General features: G+C 33.6%; 1 protein-coding gene across 5 annotated transcripts in view, besides 1 other annotated feature; it reads right to left on the bottom strand.

Moving 5' to 3' along the window:
- EPHA3 (EPH receptor A3) overlaps positions 1-21,514 on the bottom strand; it is a 374,514-nt gene that overhangs the window by 195,666 nt on the left and 157,334 nt on the right. The window lies entirely within an intron of this gene.
- Positions 7,705-8,264: an enhancer, noted in NCBI's record as "OCT4-NANOG hESC enhancer chr3:89327355-89327914 (GRCh37/hg19 assembly coordinates)". NCBI's record gives its function as "activates a minimal SCP1, AML or CMV promoter by ChIP-STARR-seq in primed H9 embryonic stem cells {active_cell/tissue: H9 hESC(primed)}" and the evidence as "EXISTENCE:reporter gene assay evidence [ECO:0000049][PMID:30033119]".

Genomic DNA, 21,514 nt, shown 5'->3' with positions numbered 1-21,514 from the left:
CCTTCCTAATTGGTCTCCCTGCTTTCGCCTTTGCCAATGTACCGTTTAATTCCAACACAGAGCCAGAGGAAACATTAATCAGATGATGGACCTCCTCAGTTCAAAGGCTACAACGGCTCTGATTTCACACAGAACATTATCAGAAGTCTCACCATGTACTTCTGCTTGGCCCTACCTGATCTGCCTCACTTCTCTTACTCACTTGTCCCACGCTCTACTCCTCTCTCCCTACTTCACGTAGCACCAGGAAAACTAGCTTTCTTAATGGAACCAGCCCAAGGGTCCCATAGAACTGATGTTTATGGAAACACACACACACACACACACACACACACACACACACACACACGTAGAAATTGATCCTCCTAGTTTAAAGTTTGAAACTTACATTTGCCTTATCTGAGTTCCTTCCTCAGGAAACTGACTCTCAGGCCTCCCAGACAGTATCAAGGGACTGAACTAACAAGATCACCATATGCAGACAATTAAGGCAGCAGAGACCTCATCTATCATGATTGCCTGATCACCTGCTTCCAGTTGACCAACGCTTCTTCCTTACCCCTCCTTAATTCCTTAATTCCCCACACTTAGCTACATTCCTTTCCTGCTATATAAACTCCTAACTTTAGTTGGGAGGTAGGAACAGATTTAGGAATTGTCTTCTGCTGACATCACCAGGAGTATAATAAAATAATGACTACTTCCCTGGCAATACTTGTTGTCTCAGTGATTGACTTTCTGTGCATTGAGCAACAGGACCTAGACAGAATCTTTGGTGTTTTGGAAACATTAATATTCGTGAAATATACCAACAACTCTTCCGGCCAGGGCCTTTGCTCATTTGTAAATAGCTGACATGCTCACCCTTTATCAGCATGGTTTGCCCACTCAATTCTTTCAGGACTTTAATCAAATGTCACCTTTTTAGTAGGGTCCTCTTTAAAATTGCATCCCCAAACCCTAGAACTTTCTATACATTTCTTTGCTTCATAGTAATGATTACCTCCTAATAGATTTATTTTGTTGTATTATTATCTCTTTTCTGTTAGGGTATAAATAATACCAGTGTAGATATTTTTGTCTGTCATTCAATGCTATATTCCAATTGCATAGAAAATTGCCTAGCACCTAAGTGTTTTCCCAATATTTACTGAGTAAATGAAAGAGTAAATGAAGGTAAACCAGGAAGACTTCTCTGAGCCCAAAATATTGAGAGAGATGGATCATTAGACACTTGAGGCACAGACTATTCTAGGCAGATGTAATGACCTTTAAAACTGTCAGCCATTAAACAAAAAGAGGAGTGATGTGACATATTTTTATTTTTTTATTGTATTTATTTATTTGAGACAGAGTTTCGCTCTGTTGCCCAAGCTGGAGTGCAGTGGCATGATCTCGGCTCACTGCACCTCTGCCCCCTGGGTTTAGTGATTCCCGTGCCTCAGCCCCTGAGTAGCCAGGATTACAGGCTCCCACCACCGTGCCCAGCTAATTTTAGTATTTTTAGTAGAAATGGGTTTCACCCTGTTGGCCAGGCTGGTTTCAAACTCCTGACCTCAAGTGATCCACCCTCCTCAGCCTCCCAAAGTGCTGGAATTACAGGCGTGAGCCACCGCATCGGCTAACACATTTTAATAATTGTTCTAATTCTATGTTAAAGTGGAAGAACGTGGTTGGAGTAAGTTAAGTAAAGAGGAGAGACAAAGGAGCCAAGTTCTGAGAAGGAAGGAGAGGACAATTCATTTGGGGCCTTTTAGGCTATGGTAATAAGTTGAATTTCACTTTAGATGCAAAAGAAAGTGCCATTGAAGGGGTCTGATGGAGGCATAGATTACGGGAAATAATATAATTTTATTTTGTTTTAAAATATCGTTTTGATTTTATTCTAAATAATCATTTGTATGGCAGGAAATTGTTATTTTCTACATAGAGGAAATAATCAGGAGAAATCAAACTCAAGGTTTTAAAATCAGTAACATGAAAATTATAAAGTTAAGTACTTAAGATTATATAACTGATAAAAAAAAAGGTGATGGTAGATAAAAATTTCACTGTTTGAACTGACTTTGTAAAAAAGTTAGATATTTCTGAATGTTCTAGATTGGTTTATCCGCAGTCTCATCACCAGAAATGGTTTATTTTTTTCAATAGCTTCCAATTCACTAATCACTCCAGTCACTCTACCTGAGTCTATTAAAAAACTATCATAAACGTAGCAAGATGAATTTACAGAACTACCCCAAATGTGTAGTTAATTAATGTAAATGAGTATGGACTTTAAAAAGTGAAAATAGGTGTTACATAATCCAGAACACATTCCTATAACAACAAATGTGGGCTTTAGATATAAATCTAACTTCATTTATTTGGAATTACTTTGATAACAGTTTCTGATCATTATTTTATACATGTGTATAAAGTAAATTTTATTAATAAAATCCTAGTCTTTTATGGTGTGGCAGTAGGAATTTAAACATTTGTGACTGCACAAATGTCTCTGTATTCATGTTTAGTATTCCACTAAAATACATAACTAAAAACTGTTGATTATAAACCTGATATGGAAAACTTCTGTTTTTAAAAAATAAAGAGAAGACAAAACATATTCCATTTGTTTAATTATAATTATTTTCTTTGTTTGATTTTAGAGCATTTTTACAAGGGAAAGAATGAATTTTCAAGTTTACACAAACAGCAAAGTGAGCACCTCCATGTTTATAGAACATCAATTCTCTCTTGTGTTTCACCGTGCTGTGCAATAAGATTTGTATCTGAAGAGTTATAATATGATAAAATAAAACTGGATAGAAGTGGGTTCTCTTTTTGACCTAATTTGGCCTGTCCTTCAGTTACTTTGCTTCTGCTCTCATTTCACTATGTGGCAATGCATATGTAAAATGTCATCATTGGTTGGGAAATGCATATTGAGATTAAAAGAGTTGTCGCATTTTAGAATTGGTTGTTTATTCTTCTGTCAGAAAATTAGCCAGAAGTTTTCTACGAAGTAAAAATACGTAATTCAGTTTTTCTTCCCTTATAATATTATTAGTAGTTTACTCCATTTTGTTACTTTCTATGTTCAGGTGCTCTATTTCCCACCATATTCCCTCACCAGCCCCCACCAGATAAATGTCAGAAAGAATGAAACATTATGTTTTTCCTCTGTTTCAGGAAGCTACCTACTTAGAATTCCATGACGTTTCAGTTACACAAGGGCTTGAATCTTCAAAAAACCTAATACCACTAATCAGTTTAAACTTTTTTCACTTTGCTGTTGATTCTAATTCATCAACAATAAATTCTTTCCATTACCCATAATGATAGTTAAAACTTGTTCATGCCCTGTTACTGCACCTAAAAGCAAACTCCTTAAACCTGCACTTCCAAGAGTAGTTATTTGTATTGATTGGATCCATGATAATTATTTTGCCTGGCTTCTCCTGTATCAAATAAAGTACAGAAACTGTCAACTTTTAAAGTGATATTTATACAAAGATTAGTACAACAAAGATTGTACAACACAAGGATTAATACAACGAAATAAAGGCAAAGCCTTTCAGTGGCTCCTATTATTCATGTTTCAGTTAACATGATCAAAATAATCATCATGGCTCACAGTAATTTAAATTATTATATTGAAAAAGTCATAACACATTTCAGTTTTGGTGCAGGAGACTGTTTATTTCTCATAAAGAAAAGACACTCTATTGGCTACAGATCACGCATGATTCAATAACCCAGTTCATTTTTCACATTTATTCACTTTTTACATTTAAATCCCCAAATTGGTACTTATAATTGATTGTAAATCTTTTAAGAATATCAATAAAGTAAATAAAAATACGGGGGAAAACATGGTATGCAATCAAATAAAATTATGGCCTGTTATTAAAGGCAATGAACTATAAATTTCCATGAAAATAGATAATGGAGGTTTGCTCTTCCATGTGTAGGAAGATGATGGAAGTGGAAACTACAAAAAAAAGGTGGGAAAAGAAACTCCCAAATGAAAAGTATATAGCAGATGACCTATGCTTTTTACATATTTCTCCCAAAAAAGTACTTATGATTAATCAACAAGTATGATAAATTCTATATTGGAGAATAAATATCTGCTATTTCCTCAATACTCAAAACAAAGTCTGGCATATAGTATGTGCTCAGTACATATTTGTAGGATATCAGCTTAAATGTCACTTCTCAGTGACCTTAGAAAGTAGATTATTATAGCATTCATCATAACTCTGAATAAATTATTAGTTGGATACTTTGTGGTTGTTTTAGTTCAAGCATGAGAAATGTCAGAAAAGCCAAGATAGTGCCTATATTTACCCACCATTTTATCTGACTCTAGATGTATGTCTGACTCATAGTAGATGTTTAATAAAACTACTGAATGAAACTGCACGAATAAACTTTCACAGGTAAATCAGTGAATTATTTAATATATAATTGACATAATCTGCATCTTTGATAATCATAATTTTATCAGATAAATTGAAACTGACACATCAGCCCAATAACTAGACACTGTTAAAAATAGGTGTTGAAAGAACTATATTACCATTTTCTAACACATATGTACAATGATTGGAATTAGCCATGTGTATGCTTTTTTACAGTGCGCATAAAATCGAGAGAGATGTTTAGTGTGGCACCTTCCCTGTTCACTATTCCCACTGGAGAGTTTCAGGGGACACAAGATTTGTTGCAGAAAGGCAAAATGTAAAATGTAAATATGTTCTAAATTTCTCCTTGAAGCCCATGTACTATAGAACAAAGCTGTATCTCCAGTGGAACATCTTGAAAACATTACTTTTTAAATAAAATTACTTATTTTAATATTTGCATTGCATATATTATTTATACGAATATTAAACAGTAAATATTTGTTGAAAGGAAGGATGGACTACAGACAGTATCTGGCTGTACATTTGTACATAATGCATCTTTGGTTAATATTTTAGGGCACAGTATCAATAATGGAGAAAACCTCCTGCAGCAGAATTAGAGCAGGTTTCCATTTCAAAGGGAGCTGCATTCATATCTTGGCTCAGAAATCTGCTAGTGGTTTTTGGTCTTGGGCAAGATACTTACCCTCTCTGATTTTCTCATATGTAAAACAGCTATAATATGTTGTGAGAGGCCCGGTGTGGTGGCCCATGCCTGTAATCCTAGCACTTTAGGAGGCCAAGGCAGGTGGTTTGCCTGAGCTCAGGAGTTCGAGACCAGCCTGGGCAACACAGTGAAACCCGTCTCTACTAAAACACAAAAGAAATTAGCCGGGCGTGGCGGCGTGGGCCTGTAGTCCCAGCTACTCAAGAGGCTGAGGCAGGATAATTACTTGAACCTGGGAGGCAGAGGTTGCACTGATCCAAGATCGCACCACTGCGCTCCAGCCTGGGTGACAGAGTGAGACTCTGTCATAATAAATAAATAAATAAATAAATAAATAAATAAATAATAAAAATCTTGTAAGATTCATATGGTTAGATAATATGTGAACACCATGGATGGTATTTAGTAAATAATACCTAGTATTATTATAAGCTACTATTCTAAGCAAAATATACAATTCTAATCACGAGAATCATGATTACGTCACAGACTTTAGCTGTTTTACAATAATTTGTTTCAAATTCTTGGAAAATAACTCAAAATCTACCCTACTCATAGATAGCAAGATATAGTTGTAATATAGTCAGTATTGTTAATGTGTTCTCACATAATAGGTATGATTGTGCCATATTTATTCCTAGGTGGTACATCCTTGATATATTTTATGGATGTGTACATACATGAAACATGCATAAATACAGTGCAGATGCCTTTGAGTACCAAATGCATGTCTTGTAACTACATTGATGCATTGCTCAATGCAACTAAAACCCAATTATACCACACGTGACTCTCTGAAAACAATCATTCCCTCCAGAATAGTTCACTCAGCACTAATCAATGAGAATAGAAACATCCCTTGTCACAAACCAAGTGCTCTGATTTGTATAAGCTGTATAATAGACAGAGGAGATGTGACGACTGTGCCACACTTTGCCTAACCCCAACCCCATTTTTTTACTTCAACCTCTGGAGGCTTTTTATTGATTACTATTAACTCTGAGATACTCTCTATATATACCTGAAGCACAGATTTGTAAACAGACTGTCTATACCTACTCACTTCTTGAATCCTATTGAAAAGTCCATCCAACTTCCACTCAAAATATCAGTATTTTCTATGAAATGGTATTCAAAAGTTATTATGAAATATGGCCCTTACTGAATAAATCTATTTTTGCAGGAAATAAATATCTGTAATTTTAATATTTATGCCATTACATCAATTCTGTAGCTAGCTATTTTGATGTAATATTATACCGTGTTCCCATCTCTGACATGTGCATGAATGCACACACACACACACACACACACACACACACACAGGTGCACACAAGAATTGTTGAAACATTGTGATCAATAACTCTATATATTTTCCCCTGAGTTCATAAGCTGAATGAATAAAATATAGTTCACAACTTAATGTGTTTAATAAAGATCATTTCTTATTATTGAAGTAATTACCTTCTTTTTGTGTTATATTTAGAGTGGCTTTTCCCAATGCAGCATATAATAATACTGAACCCTTTGATATTATTTATTGTTATTTTTCTTTAAGGCTTGTTCACTACTTAGCAAGGAGGACTGTAACCAAATTAATGAGAAGATAAATTAGTAGTCAAATATATAATATGTTTGTACTACCTTTACTTTAGAATTGCACCAAATAAGTGTTGCAGGACCCACTCTAGAAAAAGATGGCCTTATGAAGAAATATTTATCTGGTATGAGAAAAAAAATCAATTAGCCAAAGTTTTACATTAAAAATAAACTTGCAGACTAGCTCACATCACTGAATACCAATGTGTAATTTCTTATAACTTTTAGTATCATGTATTTTTTAACATTTCTTAGACATATTTCTTAGCTAATAACACAATAGGTAGCTATATATTTTGTTTGAAAAACCCAAAAATTTAAAATTAATTAATGATGGCAAACATAAGTTATTATGAATATAATGTATTCAATGATTATAAATATTAAAGTGTAGAACAAGTACAGGCCACCGACCTTTTCTCTAACTTTTTCTAGAATGGTAAACAGAGTGTGTCAATTCCATTAAAAGAAAAGACTTTCTTTCAAACTCATTACTTAAGAGAACATATTTCTGCCTACCTAAATGAGGTTTCCTGGGTGTGTATGTATGTTAATTAAAAAAAACTCTAAGGAACAGTGACATAGCTATGTGTTTGCAAAACAATTTTTAATTCACTTGACTTAGCTATTTACTTGCAAAACAATTTTAAATTTAAAATAAAAGACTACTCTTAGAATTTAAATGATCCACACTTCCACAGTCTGCTATTTAAAAATGTGAGGGGAAAAAAACACTATATACACATTTGGTTCAAATTTTCCACAGTTTAAACTACCAGCAAGTAAGTTGAATGCATACTTGAGAATCCTCGAGTTAAAAAGATGCAGTTCTAATCACCCTTAAATATGAGCTCAACAGCACCTTTCTCCCAGCATGAGGCACTTAGAGTAATGAAATCTATCCTCTTTTTGGAAGTTAATTTGCACTCATTTTAGCACATTTCTTTTGGGAAATTAAGGCAAACCTCTGGGGCAATGGGCCTAGTCGTCAGAAATGCTTTACTCAAGAAGTTGATAGCTTATATATACAAATCTTAAATCAGGTTTATCAAGATCTGAAAATAGCAGAGCGACCTCTATTTCATTTTATTCCTAATTTGTGTACCTGTGGTTATGGGTTATTGAGAAATACAGAAGAGAAAGCGTCACAAAATAGGCCATTGCGCATGAAGTCCACAAGATCACCAGGTAAAGGAAGCCCATGGCCTTCTGGAATGTCCTCCTGCTGGGAGTACACATGGCATTCCATTCGCCCCATGAAACACTGGATTGTTTAGCAACGGCAGACACTGAGAGCAAAGGGAGCCCTGTGTTGCAAACGTTTTCATTTAATGAAGTTAGTAAACTAATCGTGTTTCCATGACTCTTCTTGACAGGTTGATTTCCTACCTGGAAGAGCCAAGCTTCTCTGGCTTCAGCCACCTACAGGGCAGAGACCTGCTTCTAGCTACCCTTGTGGCAAGATGCAGGCTGCCAGTATGCCACAGAGACCCAGCAAACATGATACCCTGTCTGAATAATGTTTCAATATGCCTGGGATTAAGAATAAATCTTTTAAAATGAAAAGTAAAGCAGGAAATATATATAACATACTAGCCTTTGGGGTAAAACTTCTCCAAAAGAAAAGTATTTTGACTCTATTTTAAAGGACTGCTGGGGAATTACACATGTTTTTAGAAAGGCAACTTGCAGAAAGTATAAACCCATCATAAAGCTTGTAAAAGCACAGATCTTTGTCAAAAAAAATCAAATACATTTGAGACAAACCTCAGGAACTTTCCTTGAAAAGGCAGCTGAAGGCAACCTCCTGACTCTGGTATGAGAAGTAAGAGTTAAACACCCCATTGAAATTATATTCACCATCCATGGAGGGTCCAAAAGAGAATCATTGTGTGAAAGATGTTTAAAAAGGAGAAAACAGAACAAAATTGCTTTAAATCATATTAGCTAATGCATAGGGAATTTTCATAAATGGGAAAAGGAATAGTCACTGGAAAATAAAGTTTCCGGAAATTTTTGAGAAAAGAGCAATAGAACACTAGGGCATCATATTATGACAAAAAAATATAATATACTGGGATCATTTTTCTGATTAAACTGGGTGCTTTAGAGTTTGAATTATAAACCTATAAAACAAAAGCAGGCCAGAGTATGCTACCCCAGTGACATATCTTTAAATGCATAAATAAAAACACTTTATTTAAAACAATCATGTTTTCAGTGGTCTAGAACAATTTTACTATTGCTATCTAGTTCTGAACTAAAGTTTTGTGGAGAAGATTTATCTTTGAATTGCCAATTTAGACTTTAAAATTTCAAATATCAAATCTAGTCGTCTATGATATGGCTATATAGTGAATATTGTACTGAATGAAATATCCATTTTAATGTTAGCTAGAAATATATTCAAGAGCTTAAAGGATTTCTCATACTGTTACTTTATAGTTGGACTTTAGGTATCATTACTTCTTTAAACGTATATTTCTCCCACTTTAAAATTCAGAATTACAGTATGCATTTTTAATTTAATATTATTTGCATTGAGATGAAGAAACCATTATTTAGAGATAAGAAAAAGTAGTTTTCAGAGAAATTGTATGCCTTCATATTAAACTATTCCTAGGACATGCAAGTTGGTAATTCAGTAGCAAACACACGAAGATACCATGTCTTCTAAAGTTTTGGCTAGTCCATATGCATTTAGCTTTTCATTGGGGAGGTGGATTAAGGAGAGGCAATGCTGTTTCATATGGATATTCATGCAATTAATCATGAACTTTATAAGATGACATTTTAAAAGGGATATACTCATTGAAAACTGTTAAATTGATCCATAACATCACTTTGGAAACTATAAGAGAAAAGTTGCTATGATCTTTTCAAGAGAATACTGCAGCTGGATAGCTTCAAAACAGACGGACTTTTAGATATTCTCTTTAATACATTATGTGTCTTTTAGTGCTATAGAAAAACACTTAATTTCCTGTCTTCTATGGGAACCTAGACTTCCTGAGAAGGCTATTCGGATTAGAATAATAAATCTTTCTCCTGAATACAGAAGGCATGGTAAAACTTATTTTCTCACTCAGTCAAACATATTTCATATTTTTTCCCAAATAACATCTAAGAGGAGAGGAAAGGAGTATTATCAATCTCTGATGCTTTCTACTCCTGTGTTTTTTAATATATATGCACATTTTAAATTGCCATATTAAAAATAGAGGAGAACAAGTTATCTTGCAATGCTATATTATCAGAACTTCAATTAGGAGCACTGTGGAGACATTTGCAAAACCATTCTCTTCACAGTCAGGCATCCATTTAAACATTCCTTCCTACTCAATCAAAATGTATCCAGTTTAAAGAATTTGCTAGTGACAGGTTTGATCAATAATTTAAGTACCCAGGCAGAGGCATCCTCATTCTGTACAGTACAATGCTTGATAGACATCCTATCTGAGAGGGAAGGGGATTAAGAGAAAGTGTTATGAGCCTTTTCATACTTCCACTTCTTTAAAAGGTTGACATATTTTTATGGATGACATCCTGTGACATTGATAAAGCAATCAGAGTATGTTCTGGGGGAGAAATTACCTGTATATGATTTGAGAGTATGGACATTTTTAGAAGATGCCTATCCTTGAGAGCATCTATTTTAAAAATGCAAGCACAGCCATTTTTCTATTTCCTGAGTGTTTCTACCTCTGCTTTTTCTCCCCCGTACTATGCCTCACTGACTGCTATTCACCCTGCTGGTTCTAGTTCAGACACCTTCTGCAACTCCCCAAAATTTGGCCAAGTATATTTCCTGGGTTATGAAAAATATGGTTTATATTGTATTGCATTGCATTGCATTCCCTTTAACTGAGGGAAGAGATTTGCTTTATTCATTATTATAGTACCAGCTCTCAGCAAAGTTCGTAGCTTTTAGTATGCCTTCAATAAATATTGAGTCAATGAATAAAATAAACCAAGATTTTTCCGTGATACAGAGTCAGAAAACTTAAACCAAATATGAAAGCTGCACATAAAATGCACAAACTTTCTATTTCACCCTGTCTGCTATCACTTGTGGAAAATATTGAAGAATTTTCATATTTCTGAGAAAATTTGGTGTTGGAAAAGAATCTGGTGGCAGTGAGCACATTTGTAAATGGGTTATGGACTTGCATTTTGAAAGGCATTTTCACTTACAATATCTCATTTGAACCTCTTAGTGTCCAAGACAGAGATAAGATACCTAATCCTCACTTATTATAGGTGAGGGTTTGGAGCTCTCACAAATTAAGAACTTTATTAGTATGACTACGAATCCACATTTTCCCAGCTACACACTTTGAAGGTTTAGGGAACGTATAGTTGTAGAGGGAAATCCAGTTTCCTGAGTCATGAAGATGCTGATATTAGGAAAATCACGGGGCTCTGGTGCCGACAGTTTTCTTTCTTCCACCATAGCTTCTTGATTTTAGGAGCTGTCAGTGATTTCTGAAGAACATGAATCTCCAGGGAAAGGAGTGTGTAGAATTGACATTGCTCCCGCAAGGACTGTCTCATAGCATATCCAATAGTAGGAATTTTGGGTTGATATATATAAAACCTGATGTAGCGGAAAAATTATGGACTTTGGAATCACTCAGCCTTGAACTTCAATTTTAATTAAACTACTTACTATCTATTTGACCTTGAACAAGTCACAACCACTCAAAGCTTCAGTTTCATCATTAGCAAAGTTCTGAAAGTATTAATGTCTATGGAGCAGGATGTTAACAGCACTAGAATTATAAAGTAAAAATGACATGCCTGACATATCTGTCATGCTAGTGAAATGACAATATGAAATTTGTTGATACATATGGACAGGAAAGATGACAATTTCACTTATATTATCTTTGTACTGGGAGGAGTGGCTTGGTGAAGATTATGCATGATTATTGGGCTCCAATCTTCTTAAAATTTTTTGGTTAATCTGCCTTTTCTTCCCTCCTTGGTTACGATTCTAAATCGCTGTCCATTCTCCAAAAGTGCGGAAAACTTTGACAGCCCAAGGTACAAGGCAGGCATTCAATTTACTATATTAAACTGATGGCTCTATCAAGAGTGTTGATTTTCACTTCTAGATAAGTCATTTTAATTATGATACAACCGATATCTCTTTTAAACATATTTGTCTGTTCTCTATTAATTCACATAAATCTATGGCTTTCAGATGAGGGTATTATTCCTTACTCATTAGAAAATGTAAGAATTTAACACAGATCATTAGACAAAGTCTAATGATTACACTTAAATAAATTTCCCTTACTCTTCTCCTCCCTAAATATACTGCTTATTGCTTAGAAATTACTTAGTTCAGTCAGTTAATGTTTGAGTGTTTGCAATATTCATAAAGTATTAAATAATGCTAAAAACAAAAAATACTAGAGTACTGACATAACAGAGATGGAATGATTTTTTTTGAATCTTTAAAATGAAAATAAATTTAAAGCACAGCATACAAAACATCAATTATTGTTGAGGCTGGTACAAAGTGGGAGGGTGGTGGGTAAATAGAAAATAACAAAGTTGATCTTTTACTTGGGGACTTTGTATTTGCAAATTCACATATTTGCTAAAACTTATTTGTGACCCAAAAGTCAATACTTGTGGCACTTTCTAGTCATTTGTAGACATGACAGAATGGCAAAAACTTGAGTTGCCTGACATGCATGTTCTCAGCTGAGGTCAAATAAGGCAACTCTCTGCCTTCTTATTTCAACTCTCACACTGTAAATAACTGTCTATTTAGTGCCTCATTTTTCACATTTCTGTGCTTTTTGTTAGTGATTTTGCTGTATAAAATGGCCCGAAAGCACAGTGGTAAAATGTCAGCCAGTGTTCCTAAATGCAAGAAGGCTGTAATATGCCTTACAGAGAAAATACATGTTAGAAAATATCCTTTCTGGCAGTAGTTGCATGCTATTGGCCATGATTTTAATGTTAATGAATCAACTGTATATTAAATAAGGTGCCTTAAAACAGAAACATACATAAAATAAGACTATGTATTGATCATTTGATGACAATGTTGTAACCAGGTGCCCTCAGGAAGCTAAACTTGTATTTCCCCTAGGAGCAGCAATTCAATAGTCACAGCAACTTTATACAATATAACTACCATGGATAAAGAAAACTTACTGTAAACACTACAACTGAGTATCTTCTCACTCTTGGCATATTTTTTGCTACTCCAGTTTCCACTTCACAAGCATCCATTCACATCAATTATATTTATTAAAAACTCTCTTCGAAGTTAGATTGTGCAAATAAGACTGATGGAAATGGGCAAAAAGAAAAGTTGGCTACTGTTCTATTAATATAAAGTTTAAACTAAGGTATAAACAGTGAGAGATATAACATGAATAGATAGAATACAGAAATGGCAACAAAGAAAATAACAATGACTTACATTCCTACTGCCTTTTAAGGTTTTTTACTTTATGTCACTTGTACCTCCTTTTTAGGTATTTACAAGCATTTCCATATTCCATTAACAAATAAGCAAAGTGATTCTCAGAGAAAGTAATGTCTTCAAAAGAACATGGCTAGAGTTAAAGCAGTTGGAATAAGAAATCAAATATTTTGGCTCACAATGCATACAAACGTTAAAAAATTACTTTAAAATGTTGAAAATTTATCTTCCCATCAAACCAAATGTATTTTTGGCCTACAAGCTACTTGCTTAGATAAGAAAAATATTCACTTCCTTTAATAGTCACTTAACCAATGTAAGTAGATTATAATTTTGTAATAAATAATGTAGTCAGAATTTATTTTAAGCCAGAGATACATGGTTTCTTAAGTGTTTTACAGTGACCATCAGAGAACATTAATTCTATTAAGCACCTCCCAGATTTACGTTTACTTTAAATCCTATGTCATCAAGTTGTAAAAAATAAGTTCTTTCATTATCCCAATAATATTCCAACTTTCCATGTGTTCCATAGTTACTTTTAAACATGATTGGTTATGAGTATGAACATGGACAAAGAGAAAAAGAGTAAGTAAAATGTGGACCAAGTAAAAGATCAAAGCCACGTCAGACAGAAGTGAATTTGAGGAGTTTAAAGTGCAATTATCACATACAACTAGAAAAATGAGAAATACGATTCTACTTAACACAACTCTTTGTCTAAGAGCAAACACATGGGCACTTAAAAATCTGGCATAGCACATGCCTTATTTTCCACATTTTAACAACTCTTAATGGATTAAAATTTCTTGACACTTTAACAAGGCAAAGTTGAAATACACTGCATCATTTTTAAGAGAGGGCTTTGGTTTAAAGCTGATGAAATTTTTTGTAATCTATCAATACAACCACAGCTGTGTGACATATTAGCCAAATTATATGACTTATAAAATATTTTTATTTAAATTTTTAAAAAGAATAGAATTTATTTTCATTTTTAAGGATCATAGCCAAAAAAAAATGGTAATACATTTGGTACAAAAAAAATGGTAGTACGGTTGACCCTTGAACAATGAATGCAGGAATTAGGGTCACTGATTCCCCATGCAGCTGAAAATCCATGCATAACTTTTGACTTTTCAAAAACTTTACTAATAGCCTACTGTTGACCAAAAGCCTTACTGACAACTTAAAGAGTCGATTAATGCGTATTTGTATGTTATAGGTATTATATACTATATTATTACAATAAAGTAAACTAGAGAAAAGACAAAGTTATTAAGAAAATCATAAGGAAGAAAAAATATATTTGCTATTTATTAAATGGGAGTGGATCATCATAGTGGTCATCCTCATTGTATTCACATTAAGTAAGCTGAAAAAGAGGAAGGGGAAGGGTTGGTCTTACTGTCTCAAGGGTGACAGTGGTGGAAGAAAATCTATGTATAAGTGAAACCGTGAAGTTCAAACCCATGTTGTTCGAGGGCCCAGTATAAAAGTGACTCGCTTGATGGCATTTTCTATTTTTAATTTCTAGTAATTTCTTTTTCTTCCTGGTATTTTTCTTTTTCCTTCTTCTTTTCTGCTTTTCCTTCCCCTTCTCATCCTCCTCCTTTTTCTGTTTCTATTGCTATTCTTCTATTTCAACATATTACAATCAACCATCAGCTATCGGTATGGATGGAGATAAATAGAGGCAGGTAAAAACAGTATACGTTTTGTTTTACATACTACCAGTTAAATGGAAGACTTGAATATAAAGCCAGAGATCGAAAGCATATTAGACATGATCAGTTTCAAGAACACTAAAGGTGAGAGAAAGCCAAGTTGCTGCAGGTTTCTTGACGCCTCCATGTCATAGCAAACCTTAGGAATTTCAGCCATTAAAAAAACATTAGAAAAATACATTTATCATGAACACCATTCAGAAATATACCTAACTTTGCTGTACTCTGCAAGGGAATTATAATACTTTCTTCACATTTTAACAAACCCCACTTTACATTGCCATTTCTAGCTAAGCTTTGTTTTCTTTTTTTCGGCTTTTCTTGTGGTTTCTTGCTTATACAAAAGGTAATACAGTGACTTTATAGGTAAAATTATGCCTTCCTCAACATTATTGGACCTAACATTTCCTGAAGAATAAGAATACACAGATGTTTTGTCTCAATGCTGAAGCAGAACATATAACAATATTAATAAGGAAGAACATGTTGAGTATAATCTATATTTTGTTTGTACAATAGCTACAAATAGTAGGGAGGGCTTATTCTTTCCATATCAGTTTTTTTAACTTGATTAAAGAAAAGTATTATTAAGACCAATCCCTCCCCTTCCTCCTTTTCAGCTTACTTAATGTGAATACAATGAGGATGACCGCTATGATGATCTACTCTGATTTAATAAACAGCAAATATATTTTTTCTTCCTTATGATTTTCTTAATAACTTTTTCTTTTCTCTAGTTTACTTTATATGTAGCTTGAGAAATAATTTGCTAGAGGAGCCCAGTGTGTTTTGTTTGCTTTTTAATCAAAAAGCACAGACAATTTTTATCAGAAATAAATAGAAGAAAAAATAACATACAGAGGAAATTTTGAAGAAATAATATTTGCAAGTTGACATTGAATTCATTCAAAAAGTTACAACTCTGGGGCACAGACAAGATTGATCACATGTATTTGTTTAAGTTTTATGAACATCAATGAAAAGAAACACTCAATAAGAGAGGTCATGCATTTAATTATTTATGGTGGACTGAATTCATACTCAGGCTACACAATTTAAAACATTATTGCATCTCTCCTTAAGGAAATAAGACAGAAGTGAGGATCAGGCTGGCTGTAGATCAGGAGAAGCTGTCTACATGACTAAAACAGGTGGACTAACAGCTGGCCAAAGACAGACAGACACAAATGAGTAGACAGTGCGTGGAAGTCCTGGCAGAAGGAGGCTGGAAAGGGATTTCTGAGTATAAAGGTCATAGGTAAACCAATAGCCTAGTTTTCCACAACTCAAATAATGACTGACAGTGATAATGATGAATCATAGTAGTAGTAATAAAAATAATAACATGATATCAGTTTCTAACCATTTACTAAGTGTCAGGTACCATGCAGAATGCCTTAATACATTAAATTAATGAATCTTTTATATAATAATTAGTTTCAATCTTATAAATAATAAAATTGAGTTTTGGATTTGGTATTCACAGAAGATATACTACCTGCCTGAAGTAGGCTTTCACATTTGGTCCTTTTGGCAGCCCCATCGAAGAGCTACTAGTATTCCCAGTGTTATTCTAAAGATAACCCAACTCAGACCCTGAAAGACCAGTGATTTGAAGCCACACACCCTGTAAATGAAAATCTTGTGAGTCAAAGGCAGAGAATTTAGACTCTATCTTCTGAACTAGTAGTTCTCAGACAAGGGCATGCATCAAAATCATTTGTTAAAAAAATTTTTGTCATAGGTGGGAATTGAACAATGAGATCACATGGACACAGGAAGGGGAACATCACACTCTGGGGACTGTTGTGGGGTGGGGGGAGGGGGGAGGGATAGCATTGGGAGATATACCTAATGCTAGATGACAAGTTAGTGGGTGCAGCGCACCAGCATGGCACATGTATACATGTGTAACTAACCTGCACAATGTGCACATGTACCCTAAAACTTAAAGTATAAAAAAAAAAAAGAAAGAAAAAAAAATTGTTGTCACTCTGGCTGGGTGGCTCATGCCTATAACCACAGCATTCTGGGAGTCCAAGGTAGGAGGATCACTGAGGATCACGTAAAGCCAGGAGTTTGAGACCAGCCTGAGCAACAAAGCAGTACCCTGTGTCTACAATAATAATAATAAATTATAAAAAAAACTATTCTCTATGCCCTGTACATCAAGCTTTTAACTCAGTCTGGGGTAGGAACCAAGGATTTGCATTTTTAATATATTCTCAGATGATATCAATGCTATTGGTCTGGAATTCACATTTTGGAAACTAATGTTCCAAGTCACTGCTCTATACTCTTTCTTGGATATGGACATGTCATAATAAAGTCTCTGTGCCTCAGTCTCTCTGTAAAATGTGTAAACAGTATTCTTCATAAGTTGTTTTGAGGTTTCAATAGTTTACCCCACGTAAGGCACTTAAAACTGGGTCTTGCACATGATATACATTAAATGCTTAAAAGATCTTATTGGTCAGTAGATTTACAAAAGCAACACTCGAAGTAGATTGTGATGTTTAAAAGAATAGAAAAGTAAAAGTAGTAATGCCATAATACCATATTACTTTTAAAATTCTAACTAATGCCCATGGGTTTATCCTATGACCTTGTATAAGACACACGACCTTGTATAAAATACACAACCTTGCTTTGACCTGAGGTTGTTTTTTTTTTCTTAACTTATAAATAAGAAAAATTATATCATTTATCACAACACAGGAAGGTTTAAAAAAACTTGTAAAATTATTTTATAGCACTTTGTGAAAATAATGGAGTATATAAAAGCCAATAATAAATTTCACTTTCCTCAGAGAACATTGTAAAATTCTAATACCTCAGCTGATTTACTGCTATAGCTAAAGTGCTATAGACAAGATTTCTTTTTCCTAAAAAATCAGCAGTTAAGTTTTCTTTTTAAATATGTCATAGATATAATTTATAATAGGGTAACTGTCTACACTACTAAAAGTGAATTCAATTTTCTTGATTTCAAACACATTAATTATATGATAAAATTGTTGGTGGCTTAAAAAAAAACAGAAACATGAAAACCAGATAGACCACACATATCAAGAAATAAGAAAAAGGAAAATAAAATTTGGAGTTTTTAGAAACTTGAAGTATCCCTTTAAATTTCTGAGAATGCACTGAACTTCTTTAAGATGAGCGAACCTTTCTTATTGTTTCTAAGCAATGAAGATTAGCCACATGAACAGACATATCTTTCATCAGCAATAGCATTAGGAAGCACATGTTTCCAGAAAGAAGAAAGTTGATCTACTGAGGGCAGTTTGAAACTGATGTGGTTTAGTAGACTAAGTGTCAGAATTTGTGAATTTTAATCCCTCTCAAACACCACCCTGTGCTACTACTGACTTGTGTGGGCTGGGGCAAGTGAATTGTTTCTTTTGGCATTTAAATGCATCCCTAGGAAAAATGGATTGAGTTACATCAACCTACCACAAGTAATTAACTTCATAATTTTTCTTAACCTATATCAGTAAGCCCATCCTAGCTATTAGGAACTGCACGTTATCTTTTGCATCATTGTAACAATTTGCATACTTTACTGAAGGTCAATGTGAAATGAGAGCAATAGCAAAGAGAGCTTCAAATCAGTTAAAATTACTAACAAAACATACTTGTAGCCTAATGGAATCACACTGTTTTAAAATAAAATGTTATCCTGTCAGTTTATCTGTTGTTCTTTTCTCAAAATTGAGCTCAGCATCACCTCAGCAACTGTTAATATTCTAGTATAAAACGTTAAGTCAGTTTGGCCTTCATTTATTCTAAGCTTTTAATTTTTTATTGTTTTAAAATTTTTGATTAAAAAAGCAAGCCAAAGCTTAAACAGAAATAAACCAAAGATTGACTTTGTGTTATTTGAACATACCAGGACAGCCTTCATAAAGTTAATTTAAAAAAAAATAGCTAAACAGCAATATTTCCTTGCCAAGACGTTACCTTTAATGTAGCTTCCTCCATGGTGAAGGGCTTTTAATGTTCATTTAGAAACACCCTTTCTTTGCTATTCTGCTTCCTGGCTTCCAGGGGGAATGGCAGGGCTGTGACTTGTGTCAGTCAGTAGATGCCTAAGCCTTTCTTTTTTAATAAGAATAGGATTCCAGACAAAATAAATCAAGTTTCTCCCTGTCTTCCTGAGAGAGTAACATCTGAATTAGCCACAGTGTAAAATAGCCAAGGATAATTAATTATATGCTTTGAGTCAACCCTCATTCCCTTCCAATTGAAGTACACAGACATCTTTTTTAAATGTACTTACAAAGAAAATTGTAAGGATGTCCGCCATCTTAAATTTCCTAAAGTTTCTATCATTGATACTATAACTTTTATAATGGAACATTTGGCAAGGTAAGCTTACTTTACCCACTGCTCCTGATTTGTTTTCACTCACCTTCTGTTACATGTTTTATCCTATTTCCTTTCTAGCTCTGCCTTAGAAAGAATCTGATTTCTATTCATTCAGTTTGCTTATACTCTGCAAATTGTCTTATGCTCTCTGAGGAAAAATGCATCCAAGCATAATATGAGAAGTGGTAGAAAACATTAGACAATTTCATTTTTTTAATGAAATACTATTTGAAATTTTTTTTAAGTCATTGACTTTCAGAGGTTTTAGCCCTTTCAAGGTTGAATTGGTGAATTTCTATTTCTGAAGAAAATTGTATTTGAACACGTTAAAATGGGTTTTGAGAATGTTATTTTGTATTTGGTATGTGATCATATTTTTCACTGCTAATTTGTGTGTCTACTCATTTGTTATTGAATTGTTTTTGTAAATGATTATTTTTTAATAAAACCAATTGTTTACAGTCCGAACAGAAATATCAGAAGAATTATAGAGATCAAAGGAGAACATAAAAATATACAGCATAAAGGATAAAGAAACATAAAGAAAGCATTAAAATTACCAATGATGACCGAATATGCTACTTATGTAAGAAAAGTTATATTCTTAGGGTTGGAGAAAAATTGAGAGTTAATTTATAAATATTTACTTTAAAAAAATCAGAAGACTTTTAGTCAAAATCTGTAGTAATTGAAGTTCACTGATTTATGTGTTATGCTAAAATTGAATTTAAATCCTCAATTCAACACTGACACACTAAAATGTGAAACAGAACTCTTTAAAGTCTAATAATGTGAAGATAAATTCAGCTACCTGGGAACTAAGCTGGCTTCAATAAAACAATAGTTTCCAATGAACATGATGGCTGTAAGGTGTAGTAATTAAGAGTAAGGAACCAGCTGACCTGGTTTCAAATCTCATCTGTTTCACTTAGTAACTGTGTGACCTAGGACTAGTGACTTGAACTGTAGGTTTCAGTTTCTTTATCTATAAAATGAAATCAATACAAATGCCCACTTCATAGAATTTTTATGAATATTAAATGGGTTCATACTTTATGCTATTTTTATTATTCAATGAGTTTAGAGTGTCTTGGTAGGATTGCGTCTCTCTGGATTATCTTGAAGTCCAGAAGACAGAGCTCAGAGCTAAGCTAGGAATTTAATTGTGTTTATATATCTTCTGGTAGTGTCCGCCAGACTGGAAAATCCTGAGTAACAACAAGTTCCTAAGCAAATTTTCAATCAAATCCTAAAACTTTTTAAAGTAGAAATGAGAAATAGAAATTACCTTGTGTATATCTTACAGAAATTTTTTCCTAGTATCACATTCCCCAAAGGCAGAGAAACTTGACATGGAGGAAGAGGGTACAAAAAGAAGGTTGCCCAGGTATCTAACCAGTGCTCATTCTCAGGACTTGACAGTTACCGAGAATGTACTAAATTTCATAATGTCCACATGACAAAAGGAGTGATGCATTGCTTACTCCTTGATGTCTGCACTTGGGTCAGAAATTAAGCAATTGGTTCTGCTATACTTTTCTCTGAAATTATAATTTCAGCAAATAAACAGAAATAACAAGAAATCAGATTATATTTATTTGAAAGAAGGCATTGTTAAACTGCTTTATCCTAAATGAGAATATAAATTAATTTAAATAATAAAAGCCATATCACATTTTGCATTACATATTTTGCCAAAATTATTTTATAAAATAATGGTGTATCAAGATATTTACAAAAAATATTAAAATAAAAGTTTTTGAAGGAGCAACATTTTTTAGAAAATAACTTTTTTTCTGTAGAACTACGCAGAGCTATTTATATCACCTAACGAACTTCATGAAAATTAATTGTTGAAGGAGGATATTGAATATGACATTTCCCAAAATTATGTGGTCAGGGATTCCCCATTTTTCTTGATGCATCTCTAAATAAATGCTATGCTCTATGACACCAGTTTTGGGAAATGTAGCTTTGGAAAGAAGATTTGTTGCATTTTTTATTTATTACAATTATAAGTCAGAGATGCACTTACAGTAGAAAATGATGATAATAACAAAAATTATATTAGGCCAAAACACCTATGGGAGAGTCTCTCTATATTGTTGCTGAACATAATTTTTAATTTTTAATCAATTTCCAAAGGATATGTTAAAATTTTTAAATGTCTGCAATTCTGTCTGGAATCTTAAAATTACTACATTAAAAGCATAAGAGTTATATCAAAACATCTAATATCCCCTATAAA

This window comes from Homo sapiens, chromosome 3, assembly GCF_000001405.40.
Source record: "Homo sapiens chromosome 3, GRCh38.p14 Primary Assembly".
NCBI classification, from domain to species: Eukaryota; Metazoa; Chordata; class Mammalia; order Primates; family Hominidae; genus Homo; species Homo sapiens.
The sequence above is the reverse complement of the archived record's forward strand: the minus strand, read 5'-3'. Positions and strand labels throughout refer to the sequence as shown.